The 22,396-nt window shown below is 44.2% G+C and overlaps 1 protein-coding gene across 1 annotated transcript; it reads right to left on the bottom strand.

Annotated features, from left to right (window-relative positions):
• Positions 1 to 1,547: 1,547 nt before the first annotated feature.
• LOC105373397 (uncharacterized) lies at positions 1,548 to 19,880 on the bottom strand. The gene is made up of 7 exons (XM_047446544.1): positions 19,740 to 19,880; positions 19,056 to 19,157; positions 17,676 to 17,777; positions 13,567 to 13,750; positions 6,929 to 7,954; positions 3,441 to 3,495; positions 1,548 to 3,090 (listed from the first exon to the last, which is right to left on the bottom strand). Exons 1-5 carry the CDS (start codon positions 19,878 to 19,880, stop codon positions 7,062 to 7,064), a joined length of 1,422 nt encoding a protein of 473 aa, XP_047302500.1. The 3' UTR covers positions 1,548 to 3,090; positions 3,441 to 3,495; positions 6,929 to 7,061.
• Between the last annotated feature and the right edge of the window lie 2,516 nt (positions 19,881 to 22,396).

The following is a 22,396-nucleotide window of genomic DNA, read 5'->3' as shown; positions in this document are numbered from 1 at the left end:
ATCAGAGTGAACAGGCAACCTACAGAATGAGAGAAAATTTTGCAATCTATCCATTTTACAAAGGGCTAGTATCCAGAATCTACAAAGAACTTAAACTAATTTACAAGAAAAAAACAACCCCATCAAAAAGTGGGCAAAGGCTATGAACAGACACTTTTCAAAAGATGGCATTTATGCAGCCAACAAACGTATGAAAAAAAAAGCTCATCATCACTGGTCATTAGAGAAATGCAAATCAAAAGTGCAATGAGATACCATCTCACACCAGTTAGAATGGTGATCATTAAAAAGTCAGGAAACAACAGATGCTGGAGAGGATGTAGAGAAATAGGAATGCTTTTACACTGTTGATGGGAGTATAAATTAGCTCAACCATTGTGGAAGACAGTGCAGCTATTCCTCAAGGATCTAGAACTAGAAATACCATTTGACCCAGCAATCCCATTACTGGGTATATACCCAAAGGATTATAAATCCTGCTACTATAAAGACACATGCACACATATGTTTACTGCAGCACTATTCACAATAGCAAAGACTTGGAACAAACCCAAACGCCCATCAATAATAGACTGGAAAAAGAAAATGTGGCATATATACACCACGGAATACTATGCAGCCAGGAAAAAAGAATGAGTTCATGTCCTTTGCAGGGACATGGATGAAGCTGGAAACCATCATTCTCAGCTCACTAACACAGGAACAGAAAACTAAACAACACATGTTTTCACTCATAAGTGGGAGTTGAACAATGAGAACACATGGGCACAGGGAGGGGAACATCACACACTGGGGCCTGTCGGGGGTTGGGGAGCAAGGAGAGGAATAGCAAATAGCATTAGGAGAAATACCTAATGTAGATGACAGGTTGATGGATGCAGCAAGCCACCATGGCACATGTATACCTATGCAGCAAACCTATACATTCTGCACATGTATCCCAGACCTTAAAGCATAATAAAATAAATAAATTTTAAAAATAAATTAATTAAAGAAAAGAAATAATCTGAGTCAGTGCTCTTGCCTTTGCCAATAATACTGGGACATCTTTTGTAATAAAACAGAGGTGAGCTCTGAACTGAAAGAAGCATTTATTTATTTATTTATTTATTTATTTTATTTTTTTGAGACAGAGTTTCCCTCTTGTTGCCTAGGCTGGAGTGCAATGGCGCGATCTTGGCTCACCGCAACCTCCGCCTCTCAGGTTCAAGCGATTCTCCTGCCTCAGCCTCTCAAGTATGCCTGGCTAAGTTTGCATATTTAGTAGAGACGGGGTTTCTCCATGTTGGTCAGGCTGGTCTCGAACTCCCAACCTCAGGTGATCCACCTGCCTGGGCCTCCCAAAGTGCTGGGATTACAGGCATGAGCCACCGCGCCCAGCCAAAAGTGGCATTTATGAAAGTGAATTGCCCTGTACACTAAGAGGTAACTCTGGATCAGTAATGACCCCACACATACAGTGGATGAATACTAGTATTTTTAAGTTATGTCTCCCTAATTGTCCAGGTTGCCAGGCAAGGGTAGAAATGCATCCCATAAGTCCACATTGCTAGGCCAAGCCAGATTCTTACTAATAATTACACATTTTTTACGTGTACATTTACATACCTTCTTCTGCAACTATAAATCTTCAGAAATTATTTAGATGTCATTTCAATAGAACTTTGTTTCTACGGCTCATTTTGGTAGAACTGTAAAATAACCAAATATTTGGCAACACAAAGTGCTGTTGAAGGGAATTTCTTTTTAGTTTAGTATTTTTTTCTTCCTCATTCCTTCCTACATGCCTTGTCATTCTGCAGCCAGAAAAACCTTTCAAAATACGCCACTATTATGACATGCTTTACTCACCAGCTTAAGATCATGCATGGTACACAGTAGGTGCACATGTCTGTGCATACACACTCTCGCACACCTCTGCGATGTTGACAAGGAGTGGTGATCTTATTGCTGTGTCCCCGAGAAGTAAATAATAACTGCTTATGGAAGATAAAATGGTGGGACAGAGAAGCCAGGCAATACACCTACGGTGTAGCGCTGAAACGTGCTCTGAATCCTGATCCCTCCACTCCAAGTTCTGTATGCCTTCCGGGTCATGGTGGTGCTCTGCAGACTTCAGCTCAGGAACTCACGTGGACGCCAACATCCTGGAGCGCTGCCCTATCCACCAGCTGTTTCAATCCTCTGCTGCAGCCTACATAGCAATAAGGATGTCTCACAATTCCCCCACACGGCTTTTCATTCATCTAGATCAAGTCACTCTGTTTCACACCAAACCCTTTCGCACATACACAATTAGCTGTATTATTCTCCCACCAAATCTCACCCCTACAGACATCAGTCAGGAAGCATTTTCAGAGTACCTCCTGCAAGGTAAGCATTTCAGAGGAGATGCAAAGAGGGCTAGGCGGAGCTCCCTGCCTGCAATGAGCTTGCGATTGTGCAGCGCTGTCTTGGAATCTTTTCCACCTGTCCCAGCCCACGTGAGGTCCTCTGCTTCAGTTATCCTGTTATTCCTGATAGTTGTGGCAGAGCTAGTGCTTTAATTGCTCTTTAATGGTATGCTTTGTAGTTTGTATCTATTCCCTAAACTCGGTTGGGAAACTCCTTAATGGATCATATACCATTTAGGAAAGAATTTACCTAGGTTTCGGGGAATTAGATATATTCCCCGTCAGTGAAATGCCCAAATTTGGCAAGCTTACCTCTTTAAAAACCAAGGCCTTAAGAAAAATTAATTATGTGGGATGGAAATCTTTCTAAAACATTTTACACATGGAATGGGCTTAGGAAAGAGAACATTTGAAATATGTATTATCCTGTTTCTCCTGACTCAGGTCTTCATGAGCCTCAGCTGTCACATTCACGCATATGGTGATTTTCTTCCACACTGATGAGAGGGGAGGCGCGGTGAAAGCAGACAGCTCGTGGCCTCAGAACGTGTGATTTCTTTGCTCTCGTGATTCAGGAGAATCGGCACCTCCCTCTCCACCTGGGTATCAATGGGTCCTCAGCTGCTGGTCACCAAGGCCACCAGACATCCTCTGCCCACTTCCTCCTCACTCCCAATCTGCTTCCAGTTGTTGTAGCCTAGGAAAGCAAGGGGTCAAGCTCATTGGAAATTTTAAAGATTTTAAGTGAGAACAAATGGGCCAAAAGCAGCTTTCCAGGAGTTAAGCGCATACAGTTTAGCACATGGATTTGGCACTGATTTTGCATGCTCACTGGCCCCTTTTTGCTTTTATTTAGAAAACATTGCAATTGTGCATCTCTGCAATGTTTACAAGCAGTGACAATCTTATTGTTGTGACCCCTGAGAAATAAATAATAACCTTTTATGGAAGATAAAACAGTGGGACAGAGTACCCAAGCATTACACCCAAAGCTTAGCTCTGGAGTGTGATTTGAACCCCGGTCCCTAGGCTACAAGGCCTATATACCTTCTGGGTTATGGTGGTGCTCTGCAGTCTCCGAACACCCACTATAGACCAGGTCCTGGAATAAAGAAATAAAGAAGACACATAAAAATTCCTGCCTTTATGAAGTTCACATTCTAGTGAGGGGAGAAACAAAGATAAATTCATAAGGTATTTGTTACTTTAGCAAATGATGAGGGCAATGAAGAAACAGGATGCTAAGAGCCATAGAAACTGTGACAGATATATCTGAGCAGAGACCTGAATGAAGCAAGGTAGCACACCCGCAGGTATCTGCAGGAAGAAAGTCATGGCAGGAGGGAGAGGGCAGGGCAAAGGCTGGAGGGAGTTCAGGAAAGGATGGAGGCCACTGGCATCCCCTGGACCTGAAGCAGGTCAGCCAAGATGGAAGGAAGGACCCTTGCAGGGTCTCGTAGGTGACTCTCATAAGGTCAGCTTGGACTTGGAGTGAGATGGAAAGCTATCAGAGTTATGAGCAGAAAAGTGATGTGAAAATTTGTTTTGAAAGGATCCCTTCTGGGCGCGGTGCCTCACGCCTGTAATCCCAGCACCTTGGGAAGATAAGGCGGGCATATCACTTGAGGTCAGGAGTTTGTGACAAGCCTGGCCAACGTGGTGAAACCTATCTCTACTAAAAAAAAAAAAAAAAAATTAGCCAGTCATGGTGCTGCATGCCTGTAATCCCAGCTACCTGGAAGGCCGAGGCAGGAGAATCATTTGAAACTGGGAGGCTAAGGTTGCAGTGAGCTGAGATCACACCACTCTACTCCATCCTGGGAGACAAAGTGAAACTCTATCTCAAAAAAATAAATAAATAAATAAATAAATAAAAAGATCCCCCTGCCTGCCAAGTTGAAAATAAAGTGTAAGGAAAGAAAAAATGAGAAAATCCAAGGAAAACAACTTTGAGGCCACTACTGCCATCCAGGAAATTGGACCTCAGTGGTGGCAATTAAGGTGGGGAGTAGGCTGTCTGAGTCTGTGTCTGTGTGGAAGATAGACCCACTAGGGTTTGCTGCCACGTTGAATATGGGGTAAAAGAAAAAGAGGTGGAAAAAAAAGATGACTACAGGATTTTTGTCATGAGCAGCTGGAAGAATTAAGCTATTTACTGAGATGCAGGTGGAGCTGATTTGAGATGCTCTCAGGTAGCCAAGCAGAGAGATCAGCAAGCAGTTTCTGTGTGATTTGGGATCTCAGAGAAGATATCTGGGCTGGGGAAATACACTTGGGAGTTGTCAGGGGGCAATGGTATAGAAAGCTGTGATACTGAGGTACAAAAGGCAGAGATTCCCTAGGGTAGAGTCCTGGGTCACTCAACATTCAGAGTCCAAGGAAATGAGAAGCAGCTGAGAAGTCTGAGAAGGAACAGGGAGTGAGGCTGAGACAGAAGTGAGGAAGCTGGAGCCAGGGTCACCTGAAAAGACCAAAAAGTGGGCAACAGGAAGGTCACCAGGAACCAAGACTTACACAGCTCAGGCGTCCAAGAAGGAGTTCAGGGAGAGGATGCAGAACGCACATGTGCATAACTGCCCACAAGCACTGCTACAAAGACAAGGACAGACACATGGGAGTGGTAGGAGGGAAAATGGAGTCAGAGAAGGAATATGTCTGTGTGCTGAAGGGAAGGTCCTATAAAGAGGGAAGAATTGATGCTGAAGAGAAATACGGAAAAGAAAGAGAGAGAGAGAGAAGGAAAGGGAGAGAAAGGAAACGGAGGGAGGGAGGAAGGGAGGGAGGGAGGAAGGGAGGGGGGAGGAAGGGAGGGGGGAGGAAGGGAGGGGGGAGGAAGGGAGGGGGGAGGAAGGGAGGGGGGAGGAAGGAGGGAGAGAGAAAGGAAAGAAAGAGAAAGGAGAGAAAGGGAGAAAGAGAGAGGGAAAAAAAGAAGAAGAAAGGGAGGGAGGAAGGGAGAGGAAGGAATGAAGGAAGAAGAGAAGGGAAGGAGGGAAGGTGGGAAGGAGGGAGGGAGGGAGGCAAAGAAAAAAGATGGCTGAAGCAATGTCCTTCAAAGGGCAGGTAGAGCTTGGGTGCTTGCCCCACAAGGAGGGTGGTCTTCACTGCCAGCAGAGCCCACCCCCTGTCACGGAAGGAGGGCAGGGAATGGGGCATAGGCTCAATGCCAGCAGGCACGTTGTGCTAGGGTTAGGGTAAAAGACTGAGAAAGTTCTCTATTTTCCACTAGTTTCTCACTAAAATAGAAAGCATGGTCATCAGCTGAAAAGATAGTTTGAGAGAGAGAATGATATTTTAAAAATCACATAGAAGGAAAGCAAATGTACTAAGGAAATTCAGAATATCCAACCAAGCAGTGCAGTGGCCCCACCACAGGTCAGTGGCCACCGTGCCACTGACAGGCAGGGGGCAGCAGGTGGCTGGCTTTTCCAGAGGCACATTCCATTGTGTGGTGCAGGTATGAGCAGACATGGAAGTAGGTATTATTCCAAGTAGGCGAGAGAGGAGTGTGGAATAGAAAACAGCCAATTCTTGAGAAGAATGGAGGAAAGCAGATCAAAAAGGAAGCTGCCTGCGGGCAGGCGGAGGAGGCAGAGAAGCATTCAGAGAACAGCTGACGGAAGAGGAGACTTTGCAAATGGTTATGTGCAAAGAGTTATGGTTAATGCAATGGCATGCTTGATATCATTAATGTAACGTAATGTTATATATATATGTAATGAAATATATATATATAATGTAATGTAATATATATGTAATGAAATATATGACATAACATAAGACATAAGAAACAGTGTTCAAGGAACGTAAGTGAAAGCACTGCTGATGTTAGGTTACCAGAAGGATTGAGCTGGTAAAACATCAGCTGGCCTCACAGTAGACACCAATGCCATGAAGGCATTGAAGTTATTGGCAATGGCAGAGTCAGGGGTGTGACCTTGTGTACAAGCACTTGAGATGGGTTGCAGGACGAATAGGAGGCAAAGAAGTCAAGGAGGTAAAAGACCAGGAATTGCAAGAAGTTCTGGGAAAGATTTTGAAATCAGCAACAATTCAAACAAGCACTGTTGAAGAGAGTAACAGAGTACTGGAGCCTAAGGAATGAGGGTGGGGGTGGTAAGCCCAGCATCTATAGATGACAGTGAGCATGGGCTGGATGATGTGAGATTCATACCTAGGAGTTTTAGAAAGGAAGAACAGAGAATGGTCTGCAAGTACAGTGGGGAGCCAGGATGACATGAACCCCATTAACATCCAGGCCAATGGCGAAAGAGCATGGGGAGAAAACAGCCAATACTTAGGGAGGCTGCAGGGAAGCAGAGCCCTTCAGGACAAGGCTACTGTACAGAAAGAAGCGGGAGAGTTGAAGGGGTAAGAGAGTTTGCAAATGACACATTCCAGGGGGCACCCAGTGTGAGTTTTAGGAATTGAGAAGAAGTCAGAGTTGAAGGTCGGAAAAGAACTAGCTACAAACGAAAATCCCTTGTTAAAGATTATTAAGAAGTTCAAGATGGCAACTTCAGCACATTAAAACAGACCTTGGTCTGAGTGCAGGGCTCTGAGTTAAAACTGCACATTACACATGCCCTTGAAGGATGCCCATGGAACCAGCCTGCGTCCTGCGTCAGAAAGGGGGATTACAGTTAACGGGGAAAGAGATGCCCTGGAAAGCTACAACAGCTTTCTGAGGTGGCTTATAACACAGGACAAGGGACAGGAGAAGTGATCCTGATGGTTCTCAAATAGATAATGGTGGCATTTGACAGGGGAGAGGGGGAGGCAGGGGTCGTGCCGGGAACAAGCAGAAGCCTGGGACGTGTGTTCTGCTCTCCCTGATGCAGCCTTGAGAGCCGGAAGAGGGTCCCCGATGGAGCCTTGAGAACCGGAAGAGGGTCCCCGGTGGAGCCTTGAGAGCTGGAAGAGGGTCCCCGATGCAGCCTTGAGAGCGGGAAGAGGGTCCCCGATGGAGCCTTGAGAGCCGGAAGAGGGTCCCCGATGCAGCCTTGAGAGCAGGAATAGGGTCCCCGATGGAGCTTTTAGAGCGGGAAGAGGGTCCCCGATGCAGCCTTGAGAGCGGGAAGAGCTTCCCCGATGGAGCCTTGAGAGCCGGAAGAGGGTCCCCGATGGAGCCTTGAGAGCCGGAAGAGGGTCCCCGATGGAGCCTTGAGAGCGGGAAGAGGGTCCCCGATGGAGCCTTGAGAGCCGGAAGAGGGTCCCCGATGGAGCCTTGAGAGCCGGAAGAGGGTCCCCGATGGAGCCTTGAGAGCCGGAAGAGGGTCCCCGATGCAGCCTTGAGAGCCGGAAGAGGGTCCCCGATGCAGCCTTGAGAGCCGGAAGAGGGTCCCCGATGCAGCCTTGAGAGCCGGAAGAGGGTCCCCGATGGAGCCTTGAGAGCTGGAAGAGGGTGGCTTCACTCTGGACCCAAACACTGCCCTGATGAAGCAAGGGTTTCCCTGCCTTTTCAATTGTGTTCCCACAGAGGAAGCTGCAAGGACTGCAGGCGACCTGGAAGGGACAACATTCTTCTTCCCTGGTCCCCAGGGCCCACAGGACATCCTTGGGTCCTTGGAAGAGTTTGAATAATAAATACTCTTAATACAGTGGAGGTTTTCAAACATTTCCCTTCCTTGTATTGTTAGATCATGGGAGGTAGTGGCACAAATCATCAGAGAGGTCATCTAAGTATCAGAGTAGGGGGCTCTGCAGTTACAGGTATCATCTTCTAAATCTCAGAGCTGCTCAGGATGAAAATCTCAGTAATAAACCCATTCTCTTGGTTTCCCACATAAACACTGAGAGCACTGGGTATTGGCTTTGGAATCAGACAGATCTGGATTTGATTCTAGGCTCTGCCAGGTACTACCTGGGTTCCTTACATTACCAGGTGACTGACTCAGTTCACTTCATGGTTGAATCAAATAGATTAAATGAAAATGGGAGAATGTATATAAAGTTCCTTACTTCTTGAAGATGTGTAAAATGGTAACTATTAGTACCTCTGCAGTTATTGGGGACAGAGATGATGAATGTCTTACAGTAGGAAATCTTCTCCCCTCTTGCAAGGAATAGGAGGGGCCCTATGCCCCTCCCGGGCATTCCCCAGTTGTGTGCCCTGGGGAGTGACTGGGAATGATATTAGGAGCCTAACCCCGAGCCCCGGGCTGCCTCTTTTCTTACTGACTTCCCTTGCTGCAGCATGATTTGTATTTATTACATATTAATGTCACTCACCCATTTAGAGCCACTAATGAAAACAATTTATGTAAGTAATGAAAACAATTATATAACAAATGGCTAATTATGTGACACTTGGAGAAGAATTAAACATTCAGAACATGAAATTCAATAATGTGTACATTTGATATCCAATTTACCACAAAATGTGGAAACCAGGGACAGATTTTAAATCAAGTTGATTTTGTTGGCTACTGTCAGAATGAGCTGAGAGCTCTTTCCTTTTCCGCAATCCAGTCCCACATCTCCCCAGGGGCTGGCAACCTTGGAGGCCGGAAAGAGCATGGGCCCAGCGTGACACGGAGCTGGGTTCTAACTCCGACTCTACCACTTTCCCACTTTGCACCCTTGGGGAAGGCACTTAAGTTTTCTGAGTCCCAGTGGGCTCATACATCTGCTTTATAAGGTGATTGTGAGGATTGGTACTTAACCATGTCAGTAAAGTACCGAGCGCCTGGTCCATAGCGGGAAGGTGATAAATGTGAGTGCTGTTCTCTCCAGGGTGTGGGCTTCAGAGCGGACAACATTTAATTTTCTGCACAGCACACTCATCCCCTACACACACATGCACGCGCGCACACACACACACACACACAGAGAGAGAGAGAGATAAAGGAAAGGCAGCAACCATGTCAAGTCCCATGAAGAAGATACCTCAAAGTCAGCCCTGAAAGGCAAAGGCGGCACACGAGAGGATGGTGTCCAGAGGATTCCCTGAGGAAGTGAAGTTGTTTAGCAGACAGGCTGGGGGCTCTGCCTTCTTCCCCAGGTGTTCCTGGGTGTCAGCTGGAGACAGTTCCGATGGTGCCATGAGTCCCTGCTTTTCTCTTACTGGACTCTGAGTGACAGGTGAGAAGCAGCAGGGTGTGCGGCGCTGCATCCCAAAGCAGCCCTCAACTAAGGAGAGGACAGTCATCCGATGAAGCCCCCAGCCCTTGCCCTCAGGGCCTGGCTCTAAGCATCTCCCATGTATGCTTTCAGAGGACCACGAGGCAACCCAGGCCCCGTCTCCTACATCAATCACCTGCTCCATAAAGTGCCTCTTGTTGACTTTGCTCCCTGCCTTACTTCCCCAGCCCCTAGAATGCTTCCTGGAATGCTTTCCAAAATCAACTAATAGAGCCCTAACCCTGGACTAAGGTCAGCCTTGGGTCGGGAGATGTCCCAAAGAAGCCATGGTCAAGCCTGCATTACGTACACAACCTACTGAGAAATCTCCACAGAGATCTAAATAATCCCATCATCCAAAACTAATCCTAGAGGAGCTCAAATCCTGTATCCTGTCTAAAAGGATGGCTCCTGTAAAAAGAAATGCATTCACGAAGGGTCCATCCCAGAGGCCTTCCTGAGAATGGGCACTTCAGATGTGTCTCCCAAAGCACCCACTGGCCAAACAATGGGACCTGTTAAAAAGGGACAAAATACAGACAAATGCTGCTGAGGAGGAGGAAGATGAAGAAGTTCAAAGCACTGTCCTGGCTCTTGCCTAAAATGTTCTGGGCTGAGCAGTATCGATGGGTGTGCAGGGCCATCCATGGTGGCAGGTGTCTGGCAATGGAGAAGTCACAGGACCCCACCCCTCAACACACACACAGGACAACAGTGGGCTCAGCCACATCAAGGTTCTAACACTTTCACCAACCCTCGACTGATCTCATTTGCCATTTTCTGTACCTAATAGTGCCACCAGGAACCAGCCAGGTCATATTGCTGTTTGCATTATAGACTCAGCCAGACATCAGTGACAGGCCAGCCGAGTCCCTCCCTGTTGTGACTAAACCTCTCTGAACGGGATTAAAGGGCCCAAAGTCCTAATTGGAATAAATAGTACAGATAAACTTGGCACTTTATACTCCTCGAAACATGCCCCAGGGAGACAAACCCTGACACTGTTTCTGCCTGTGTGCTGAAGAGCTCACCCTGTCACTCCATCCCCTCAGGAACACAACCCATTCCCAATGATGACAATATAATCCCAATTATCCCTGTACCCTTTACAGATGAACATGGTGCTATATGTGTGTATACTGTACAATTAATAAGTATTTCAAAGCTAAATGGAAACTAAATCGTAGAGGATTAAATCAGACACTGGAGCCCCCTCCACAGCTGGCTCTACTGCCTTTGGAAGAGTTGGTGTGGGGCCCCGGCACCCCAGTCCTGCAGTGAGCCCGTCCGAAATAGGAATAAGCACCTGCTCTGGGTTTGTGTGAGCCACACTTTCATACGATTGGATGGTGGGGAGGAAGCCCAGCTCCACTGGGTGCACAGCTTCTGTAGTCAGTCAGGTCGCACCAAAACGGCAACTGTGACCACAGAAGGCAGCTTTCGCCTCTCACTAGTGTGCCAGGGCACTCCAGGCTGAAATGAAGTTCCTACTGCTCCATCCAATATGTTCATCACCAACATCTTCCCTAAGGTGGGTCACCACGCCCTGCAGGATGTGGCGCTGAGGACAGGACTGTGCCCCGCTGATGGAGCGGCCACAGTGTGAGGTTGGAGCCCTTCTTGGGAGAATTATCCCAGATGAGCCTGACTAGTGACAGGCCCTGGGGAGGAAGGGTGTTTGGTCTTATGGTTTCTTCTCTCCCTTATTTTTCTTTTGGAGGTGACACTCGGCCAGAAAACAGCACAGTTGCTAAGCTGGGTTCTGTTTCCAAATGAATGGCTAAGGCCTCCAACGCACTTCTACCTGGAGAAGTGTTTTGATTCACGAATAAAGCTCTTATAAAATTAGAAGAAAGGGGAACAGCTGTAAACCTACAGGGACGGCTTCTGTGGCCGCTGTGGTCTTCATGTGGTCGTGTCCCTTGTCCACACCCAGAAAGGGGCAGAGCTTCTCTGGCCACTTCAAAAAAGCACATTAACAGACCCCGCTCTGAGAATCAGGAGCAGGAACCTACACATTTTAAGGCCTTACATTCTCACTGTCAGGTTCCGGGTCTAATGGGTAAAACTGAAACGCCCTCGCCTAGTGTCTGAGGACTCCCTCGTGTGGCATCAGCTCCTGTTCTCACCTCTTCTTCCTCCTTCTTCCTGACATTTGGTCCCCCAGATTCTCTATTTGCATTGAGCACCTCCACTTTTCCCCCTGTTACAGGTTGGGTTGTGTCCACCACATATCTTGAAGTCCTAATCCCCAGCACCTTATTTGAGAATATGACCTTATTTGGAAGTAGGGTGGGCCCTAATCGATGTCTGGTGTCTGATAAGAAGGAAGAGGACAGCATGAAAACACAAAAACACAGGAGATGGCCACGTGACCACAGAGGCCGAGATGGGAGAGAGGCGTCCACAAGCCAAGGAATGCAAGGATCAGAGCAACACCAGAAGCTGGCACACGGCGCGGCTCTGCCAACCCCTGGTCCCCTGTGCCTGTGAGGCCAGGCATCCTTGCTGTTTGAAGGCACCCAGCTGGTGGTATTTTGCTACTGCAGCCCCAGGACACAAATCCACTCTCCTTTTAGAGAATCCACCTCAACTCCCTACCACATTCCCACTCACATCAAAGTCAAGCTCCACGTGCTCTGTCTCCAAAGCTGTGTCTCTGTCTGCTCTGTCCCCACCTTCCTCAGCAGCACCCACTGTCTAGGCCCCTCTGGCCCAATCATGAGCCACATCCTCCTACACCTGCCCGTTCTCCAACATTTCTTACGCACAGACCCCATCTCTCTAGCCCCATTCCTCAAGGCAGGGACCACGAGTTTCATTCATCATTCTCCCTCATCTTGCCTGGAGCTTACGCATCCAGTAAATAACAAACACTTGTTTAACATCTTATTTCGAATCAAGAAGTGGAAGTAATTGACAAAGCTGCTTCTCTGGTGGAGAAGTTTGTCTGCTTGTGTCTTTGTTTCCCTCTCCATTCACCGAGACAAGGCAATAAAAAGGCCCCAGCCACTGATCATGCAGAGTACAGCACAAATATGCTGTCACTAAGCGTGGACCATTAAATACTACGTAACGTATGGTGAAAATTATAGCCTCCCCTTCCATTCCTGATCATGGAATAGTCTATTTATTTATAAAATAGTTGACATAATGAATAGTTATTTTGCCTTTTATTAAGGTGTGGTTAATATTTATCACTTAATTTTCCTGTCCTAAGCAAAGGAGAAAATAGACATTTGTGTGACTTCAAAAATTACAAGGGCAATTCACATTCAATAACAAACTGAAATAGTCGTTTACAACAAATGGTGCAAAATCCACGCAGCACCAGCCCTAAGTCCGATCTCAGTTATAAATAATTGTGGAAGACTTCTGCGGTGTGAATAACTGAAGTCAACAAAATATTCCAAATTGGCGGCATCATTATTCCTGGGGAACATGTTGCTCTGTCTCTCCTCAGACACAATTGTCACCAAATCATGTTTTATGATAATATTATAAAGCTACCTATGATCAAAAAACAACACAAAAAAAACGAGAGCCAAAATAGGAATAATTCATTTATAACAGTTAATAGAAGAACAGGATTGCATTTTAAATAATAAAATGTTTGTTTCCATATGAAAATAGTGACTATTTTGAGAAATGACTATAATTCTTTTTTCTTACACATATTTATAAAACCTTAATGTAACCCTAGCAACACAATACCATAATAGTGAAAGATTAGCTTGTTTTGTTTTGTTTAAACTTTCCAATGGTTGGCTTAAATCGTGAAGACTACACAATTTTGTAAGGCTTCAAATAATTAAGAATCTCCTGTATAATCTACAAAATACTAATATGAGGTTAACTAGAGCAGAGACATCTATACTCTTAGACTTCCTCTTAAGAAACGCCTGCTTCCAGTTATGATTTTACAACATGCAATGCAAGAATACTCTGCATTTATGTAACATTTTCAAGTTTCCAAAGGTAGCTGCTACATGTGCAGTGAGCTTAGATGTGTTTAGAGCATCAAAATTATTAATATATTTAAATTAATAAATACCTGCTCCCTCCTCAAATGCAGGCCCAGCGTCAATCATTTTGGGGTCCGTCATTCTTACCCCATGTCCAGAAATCAGAAAGCAGAACTTAGGTGGTCTGGAAGTAGGGATGTCCTCTGAATCTGGGTCAGTAGGGGTGTCCTGTGACCCTCCAAGCCAGTAGGGGTGTCCTGTGACCCTCTGGGTCTGACCACATGAGTTGAGACTTAAGGGAAGAGATTTCTGAGAATGGCACCTAAGACAGTACCATGTAGAGAATGCAGGTCCCAATCTGTGGCATAAACAGCTGCATAAACCCCAAAGAGAAACTAGATCCCCCAAGCATCTGGCGATGCAATGGTTTAACCAGTACTTCATCCTGAGCTTTTAGTGCAGCTTTACTTATTCTGAAGATTCCATTCTTGGCTTACTTATGCCACTAAAAATTAATGGAAGGAAGAAGATTTTCACCATACCAAAATTAGACGGTTAGTAGTTTTTCTTAAGTAATGAAGAGAGATCACCAAAAGAAAAGAGAACTGAGAATCTCTCAAGCCAGGAATAAGGCTGGGCACTCCTGTGGTGTGTAACCCACAGCATGCTCCCACACACTGACACACATACACTTTATTTCCACATGGGGGAAGCTTACGTGGTGGTTTAGGTTTCTGATTACACCCCACTAATGCAGATCATTCCATCAATAAAACAAACAAACAAAACATATTAAGCACTGTACTAGGGACCATAAAAGTGCATAATTTTCTAAGTACCTAGTGTATCTGCATAATTACAAAGAACTGTCATGGCCAATAGCAGCATTTTTTACATACACAACTCTGTAACGTAACTACTTGAATTATAGGAACATGTGACAAAATTATCTGGAGTATTTGTGTTACTATAACAAATCTGGCACAATTTGAAACCAATCTAGAATAATAATTTTTAAAAGAAGGTAGGAAGGGGAACAGAAATGTAAGATTATGCAACTGGCCAAAATAGAAGCAGCAACAGCTTTCAGTGTCTGGGCAGCAGAAAGTGCAGGATTGCAAAACTTGGAAGGAGAGCAGGGGGTCCACATGCTCCCCAGGCTCCCTCAGTCACACAGGGCAGAGAGTCCGTCTCGCTGTGCTGAGGAGGTCCATCCACACCATAGACTCAACTACGATGGCCCAATGTCTAACAGACATGGAATTCAGTCCCCAAGTGATAGAAAAAAAAAATGGAATGGACAAAATATATGCGGATAAGTGACTTAAATTCCCCAAATTTGTTGCAAAACATCTACCTAGATATCTAAGAAGCTCAGCAAAGCCCAACCATAGTAAATACAGAGACAACCACACCTCACTCAGCAAACTCTTGAAAACCAAAGACAAAGAGAAATAAAACTAAAAAGTCGCAAGAGAAAAAATATACTTATAATATATAGGAAAACAAGGATATCAATTAGAGCTGACTTCTCACTAACACAATGGAAGCCAGAAGAAATGGGATGAAATAATCAAGGAATAAAAGAAAAAATATGGCGAACCCAGAATTCTCTAACCAGCAAAAAGTATCCCCCAAAAATTAAGGTAAGAGAAATATCTTTTAGATAAATGAAAATTAAGAAAATTTGTCACCAACATATCTGCATTAAAAGAACGAGTAAAAGAATTTCTTCAGGATGAAGAAAAATGACACCAGTTAGAAATATTACGAGAGAATGAAGAGCACCAAACACAGACATAGAAATAGAACACAGACCTAAAAATCTATGGTAAAGAGTATGTATTTACCCTTCTCAATTATTTTAAAAGACTCTTTTCTTAATGACTTTTGGCAGTTTAAAGCAAAAATAAAAATTGCACTGTGGAGTTCATTAGGAATATTGTGTAAAATATGTATACATTGTACCACAAAGAAACTGTGAGGTAAATGGATTACACAGTTATAAGATTCTTAAACTTTGCATTAAGTGATATATATAGATGCTAGATAGACTATAAAAAATTATGGATGAATATTAAAATTCTAACAATGACACTAAAAATACAACACAAGGAGTTATAGCTTAAAAGGAGTAGAGGAATTGTAATGGAATACAATAAATAAATAAATAACAGAAGGGAGTGAAAAAGAACAGAACAATAAAATGTAACAAACAAAAAGCAGCTGGGATAAGTAAAACAAATAGCAAAATGGTAGACTTAAACAAACAACATCAATAATTACCTAAAATATCAATAGACTAAATGCCAATTAAAAGGCATAAATGTCAGGATAAAAAAAAGCTAACTGTTTGTGGATATAAACAATATACATTAAACATGAAGACAAGTTAAAATATGATAAGAAAGACCTACAAGGTGAATTGTTTGCATAAATAAGCTCACAGAGGCTGGGCGTGGTGGCTCACGCCTGTAATCCCAGCACTTTGGGAGGCCAAAGCAGGTGGGTCACTTGAGGTCAGGAGTTCAATACCAGTCTGGCCAACATGGCAAAACCCTGTCTCTACTGATAATACAAAAATTAGCCGGGCGTGGTGGCACATGCCTGTAATCCCAGCTACTCAGGAGGCTGAGGCAGGAAAATTACCTGAACCCGGGAGGTGAAGGTTGCAGTGAGCCGAGATCGAGCCACAGCACTCCAGCCTGGGCAACACGCTGAGACTCTGTCAAAAAAAAAAAAAAAAAAGCCCACAGGCTTGTTCATATGACACAGAGCCGAAGTCAAGGCAAAGAGACAGAGATAAGGAGAGAAAATGCATAATGAAGAAGGGGTTAATGTTGCCAAATGTGAGTGTTCCTACTAACAGAGTTTCAAGACGTCTGAAGCAAAATGTACTTCAATTAAGAGAAAAATAGAAAGCTCAACATCATAGTGATTTTTGCATAGTTCTCTGTTACATGAAGTTCAAAAAGTGTCAAAGCTAATCTATCATCATAGAAGCCAGGACACATTGTCTGCAGGGGTGGGAATGGACTGGAAGGAGCATTAGGGAGCCTTAGAGGTTAAACTATATTTATCACATAAATGTGTATAAATGTGATACATAAATGTGTGTGCCCATTTATGTGATCAGTATAGTTTAACCCGTAAAGTTTAGAGGTAAACTTTAACCTTGGTATAGTTTAACCTTTATCAGTAGAGTTTAACCTCTGTATGTGTGTGTATGTGTGCGTATGTCAAAATTAATCAAGTATGCATTTGATTTTTTTATAAAAGGAAAAGAATAGAAGATATTAGATAACAAGGGGTGGCAGAGTGGATGAGTTAAGGGTCCCAGATTGGACAGCTTGAACAACAGAAACCTACTGTCTCACGGTTCTGGAAGATGGAAGTCGAGATCAAGGTGTCAACAGGTTTGGTTTTCCGTGAGGGAGGATCTGTTCTGGACATTGCTCTTCGGCTTGAGGATGCAATTGCCGCCCTGCGTCTTCACATGTGCTTCCCTATGTGCCAATCTGTGCCCTAATTTCTTCTTCTTAAAGGACACTGGTGACCCTAATGAACTCATTTCAAGGTAATTGCCCATTTAAAGGCGCTATCTCCAAATATGGACACATTCTGAGATCCAGGGGGATCTCATAAATTTTGGGGGAGGTACAATTCAGCCCACACTACCAAGTAGAGAAGCCACAATCCAGCAAGACATCTGAAAAGAAGAACCTCAGGATAATCCAACTACAGTCATCAAAATCAGTATTATTTATGGCTTAAATAAAAGCAACCTAAGTTAAACAGAAATTGGAAAAATACTCCCTAAAATAATTCAAATGTATATCTTTACTTTTTTTTTTTTTCTTTTATTTAGGTTTTAGGGTTTTCCTGCTGATAATTTTGGAATCCAAAGAACTTTTCAAAAATCGTATTACTGGTTCTGATCCCGGTAATGAGTTTTTCAGATGGAGATGTAAGGGACGTGGAAGGGAGGCTTGTGGGAAGATGTCAACAGCGACAGAGACTTGCTTGAGAAAATTCAAGAATGCAAGCCTGGGCCAATGGGGACCAGGAGGACAGGAGTCGTGCTGAATGGCAAAGTGGCTGTTGGTATCCTCCTGGGATAGTGACCTTCCCCTTAATTTCAGTGGCAGATCAAGGTCTTTTTCCTCATCTTCCCTGGCGTAGAAGAGCCATTGTGTACGCTCAGGTGGAGCCCATGCACCACGTGGGGTGAGAGCATGGTTTCCAGCCCGAATAACATCTTCCAGAGATTGCCTGGAAGATTGATGAATAAGCCTTTTCTCTGTTAACAGAATTAATATCATATGGAGCCTTCAGAAGGCGATACCCGATGTAGAGTCAGATGCCAGGGAGGGTTTTGTTGTTTTTTTTTTTCTAACCATCCATAAACCTGCACGGCACAGATGTTCCACAGCAGGGGTCCTGGGTTGTAGAATATGCAAGACTAATATGGAAATCTTGAATACCGTGGCCAGATGCAGGCAGGCAAACCCTGCTGTAGGAATGCAGACTCGTTTCACTGCCATAATTCTAAGTCAGTCATCTGGTTTGCATGAAAGTACCTAATTTGGGGCACAATGTACATTATTTGGGTGATGGTTCCATTAAAAGCCCAGACTTCACCACTACACAATATCTCCATGTAACAAGACGGTCCTTGTACCCCTTACATTTATACAAATTTTTAAAATAAAAAAGTAAATAATGTATTTAAATCAAGAGGTGTGTTACCTTTAAAAATATATCCCTGATAAAATCGTTCAGTTGATAGCATTTCACAAAACTGTGCCACCCCAAATTCTGCTCTCTCCACCACAACCATTAAAGCTAGCTTCTCATCCCAATAGATGGAACATTCTGAACAGCAGGGACTTTACTTGCTAAAAGGGTTGGGGTTCGAAAAAGCCACACCATGACACGTGAGGTGTGCTCCATTTAGGAAATCTGATGAAATGGGGGCTCAGCATTAACCTTCGAGGAAGAAAAGCTGGGCCTGGTGCTTTCAAAATTAGCGAGGCCAATATTTCACCATGACAAGCATTAGTAATGAATAATTAAGTGTTTAATATAATGTTGCTTCGGTGAAAAATGATAATTTTACAGTTGATGGGCCTTAAACCTATTCTATCCTATTACGTGGCATTAAAATGAAAGGGAGGGAGTGCTAATGAAATAAATGGTTTTCTGATGGCTGAGCTGTAGCAATCCTAAGGTTAAAAATCTTTTCAGAACCCAACAGTGACCCTGCTGAGAGAATTTCATAAAAAATTTAAGAGGAAAATTTCAACCTGGAACAAGCTCATGTCTCACACCAGCTTGCCTGAGGTCAAACAGTGTTTTTTTCCTATAATGCTTAGTTAATGTCACAGATATAAATCATTCAGCAGATGCAGATGTTGCCATATCTTAAAATGAAACTTTAGCTGTCCTTCAAATCCTATTTTTATTAGGCATTGGAGTTATTTAAAACAATTTAACAAATGCATTCATGCATAGCTTCCTATAAAAAATGTTTATTGCAAGATTTTTTTTTTCTTTCCTCAGTAAATAGAGCTACTACTCTGAGCGGCCCGTCTGTCACTCGGACTGTTGCAGAGTATGCTGGCTGGTGGGCATGGCTGTCAGCAGCAGCACTGTCCTTGCTAAGAATTATCACCACTATCTGAAAAGAAAAATTGCATTTCAAAGATCATCTATTACTTCCCAGTAACACTTCTTTAAGTAAGGGGAAGAGTAATTTCTTTAATATGCAGGAAGCGCTAATTAGAATCTGCATTTTTATTCATTCATTCTAATTTCATTGAAAAGTACAAAAGTTCTGGAGAAAGGTTTAATTAGGGCAACATTTAGAAGGGAGAAATTAAGAGTTAGCCACAAGGAATCACACCAGAGATTTCTGTTGGAGGTAAATAAAAACATGCTAATTGTTTTCTTTGTGTTTGTTGAACTGTAACTTAAACAGTAGAACCAAGCTCTGTGCCTTCCGTCTGAGACATGAACAACTTAATTTGTCAAGAATCTGACCTTCAGAGAATCAGCCCTCAATGCAGAAAGAGTGAAGATACTTGGATCAACATTATAGTGTCCACCTGTGTTGGTACAACTCTTCAGGCAAAGCTGGTTCAATGCCCAGGATGGGGACAGGGACACCCAGATGTGAGAGGTTTTAGTGCAAAACAGACTTCTGCTTCTTTCTGTCATGACTCCCATTGACCTGAGGCTCCACACTAAAGCAGCTGGATACCTCCAGCACTGGCCGCCTCAGGGTTGCTGGCTTGGCACACACACTCCACTTCTCTCTCATGGTCACGGGGGCTGCTCCCCAAGGCCCTGCAGCTGCCTGGACTCCCCAAGGCCAGTCTCCCTTCCCTCCGCTGTGCTCCATTCACCCCTCAATGCAGTGGCCTTGGCCTGATAGGATTTGCTATTTTCACTCATCCATATCCTCGCCTTCCCCAGAGGATGAGCTCCCTTCCTCTTCTAACTATGGTGCCTAAATGAATCCAATGCTTCGAGATTGCAAACCAGGGATCCATGCTCATGGACATTCAGATAACAACAATCCCCTGAGTCCCCCGCAGGCAGCAGGTGCTCACAGGGTCACATTAACATGAATCACTCAGTTTACAGTGGCTTGTGCACCCACCTGCAAAATACAAATCCTCTCAACAATTCTTACCCTTTCCGCCAGCCCCCAAAATTCTCACCAACTATGTGGGTTCTTCCAGGAGCTGGTGTTTCAAAGTTATGACAAGCAGCCTTCTCAGATTCTGCACTCCAGCTCTCCACAAAGCCACTTGTAAGAAGTTCACCTCCACCCCCGATTTCTGCTCCAGGGACATCCAGGGGAACCCAGATATCCGTGCCGAGGGGTCTTTCTCACTGTTTCCGACGCTATAGGCTCAGGGCCAAAGACCAGTGGCAAACGGTTTATCCCACATTGCACAAAAACAGAGAAAGTTTCTGCCCAGAATTGAGGAGAGGGTCCCTCTAGCCTGGCTCGTTATGCCCTTTGCCGCAGGCCCCAAGGCCACATGGCTCACGTCCTCCCTTTCTAGACTTCCTGAGAGAGCTGGCATCTCCCCTTCTTATGATGAAACTTCTCTCCACAGTTAAACATGAATGGGCCAAGCCCTCGACAGCCTCTGCCGTCCTTTCCTTCCTTGACTCTTCCCCTAGGTGCCCACAGGCATTTCCTCTACTGTGAACAAATAACTCATACAGGTGCCTGGTGGCACTAGCCCTGTGAACAGACCAGATACTCTCAGGAAGGCCAGAGTCCAAGGTTCAGGCTCAAAGACACATTTGACTATACAATGAGCATTTACTCTGTCCCAAGCGCAGGGCTGAGTACCCACCACAACCCTAGGAAGAAGGTGTAAGTAGTCACATCTTACAGATTATGAAATGGGTCTCAAGGAAGGTAGGACATTTCTCCAAAATAGAATCACAGAACCACAATGCACTAGGATTTCAACCTGGTCTATCCAACTCCAAATTCTATGTTTCTCACTCTGATGCAATACACTCCTTGATATAAATACTGCCTACAAGACATGCAAAATTCTACTGACACCAATACAAAGTAGACCAAAACTTGCTATTTTCATTTATATTTGGAGCAGCGTAATACAGCAGCAAAGATGTGAAGGGGCTGGGAAGCAGAACTCTGGGGTTCTGCTTCTGGATCCGCCACGTATTAACCTGCATTACGGTGGGCAAATCTGTGTAAACTCTCTGAGCTCCAGCCCCTTGGTCACTAAAACAATGATAAATTTACTCATTCTATCACCTCTTAAAATAGTGAAATTCAAGTGACGTCATGTTTGGGAAAAGCCTTTGAAAACTGTAAAGCCAGTGCTACCAAGAGAAAATGAGAGTAACGATGATTACTTTGCCTGGAGAGAATGAATCTCCTTCCAGTGTTTCGCTACGATAAGAAGAAGCATAACGTCCCACAGGAACCCAGACACAATCAAATGCATGCAGAGAAGAAAACAAAACAATGTGAAATAGACCCTCTTCAGGTAATGAGAATCTATTTTTTGCATCCCACGTGGACCTTCAGATTCCTCTCTCCGAGGCTTCTTCCGACATACTCCTCAAACCCTTTCCTTACGCCCTCTGTGACTCCCGGTGCACAGAATGCGCATCTGCCCCGTTCATGCTGTGTGCAGTTCATGGCAAGACATTCTGATCTGGACATTTTATGTGTCTGCTTGCCATGTGAAGTTTAAAGAAGTGTGTAGCTACTCATAAGTGTGGGGGCAGAATTAAAAAAAAAAAAAAACAGAAACCAAATATAAAATATTTACTTCCAGGAAGTAGACTGTTGGATCTACGGTAGAAAACATTCTACTTTTAGCAACCAGACTGTGTTAGCCACTTGGCTTCAAAGAGTGATTTTTATTTATTCTCATGAATAAAAATAAAGAATAGCTGTCTGCATTTTGCTCATCAACTAGCAATTCCTTGGCCACAACAGTTACATTAATATTACAGGCTCCATTTACATTTATTTAAAAGGGAGTACGCACTAAAGTATTGCATTTTCCTCTGTGGAGCATGCGGCCTCAGTGATGCCAATGATGCCCATTTCCAGGAAGCTCTGCAACTGCCGGAATTCCATTTGCCAGCAGCTGCCAGTGAACACCGATGATCCTCAGCCACAGGGTAATTTATTTGCATTTATTATTTTGCCTTGTTGTCCTGGACCACAGAGAAGTACGCACGGCCTCTTATTCACTTCCGCTTATGTGTCTACTGGGGTGACATGAAATGGACAGTATTGAATGCAGTATTGAATTAAGAATTGTGTGGTTCCTTATATCTGCAGGAATTTTGTGCAATCATCGTGAAATAATGTGAACTCAAATTCAACACACTGGAGGCCAGTGAGCA

Source organism: Homo sapiens, chromosome 2 (genome assembly GCF_000001405.40).
Source record: "Homo sapiens chromosome 2, GRCh38.p14 Primary Assembly".
Lineage (NCBI taxonomy): Eukaryota > Metazoa > Chordata > Mammalia > Primates > Hominidae > Homo > Homo sapiens.
Note: the sequence above shows the minus strand (reverse complement) of the source record. Positions and strands in the feature narration are given on the sequence as shown.

What these genes read in the sequence shown, in the direction of transcription:
- LOC105373397 (XM_047446544.1), bottom strand. Translation starts at nt 19,880, where the DNA reads ATGGAGCACAGCGGAGGGAAGGGAGACTGGCCTTGGGGAGTCCAGGCA. An exon ending in TGAGGCGGCCAGTGCTGGAG is followed by an intron (nt 19,158 to 19,739) that starts GTATCCAGCTGC and finishes TTTTCTTTTCAG; the next exon opens with ATAGTGGTGATAATTCTTAG. An exon ending in TGCATTTGAGGAGGGAGCAG is followed by an intron (nt 7,955 to 13,566) that starts GTATTTATTAAT and finishes AACTCTTCCAAG; the next exon opens with GACCCAAGGATGTCCTGTGG.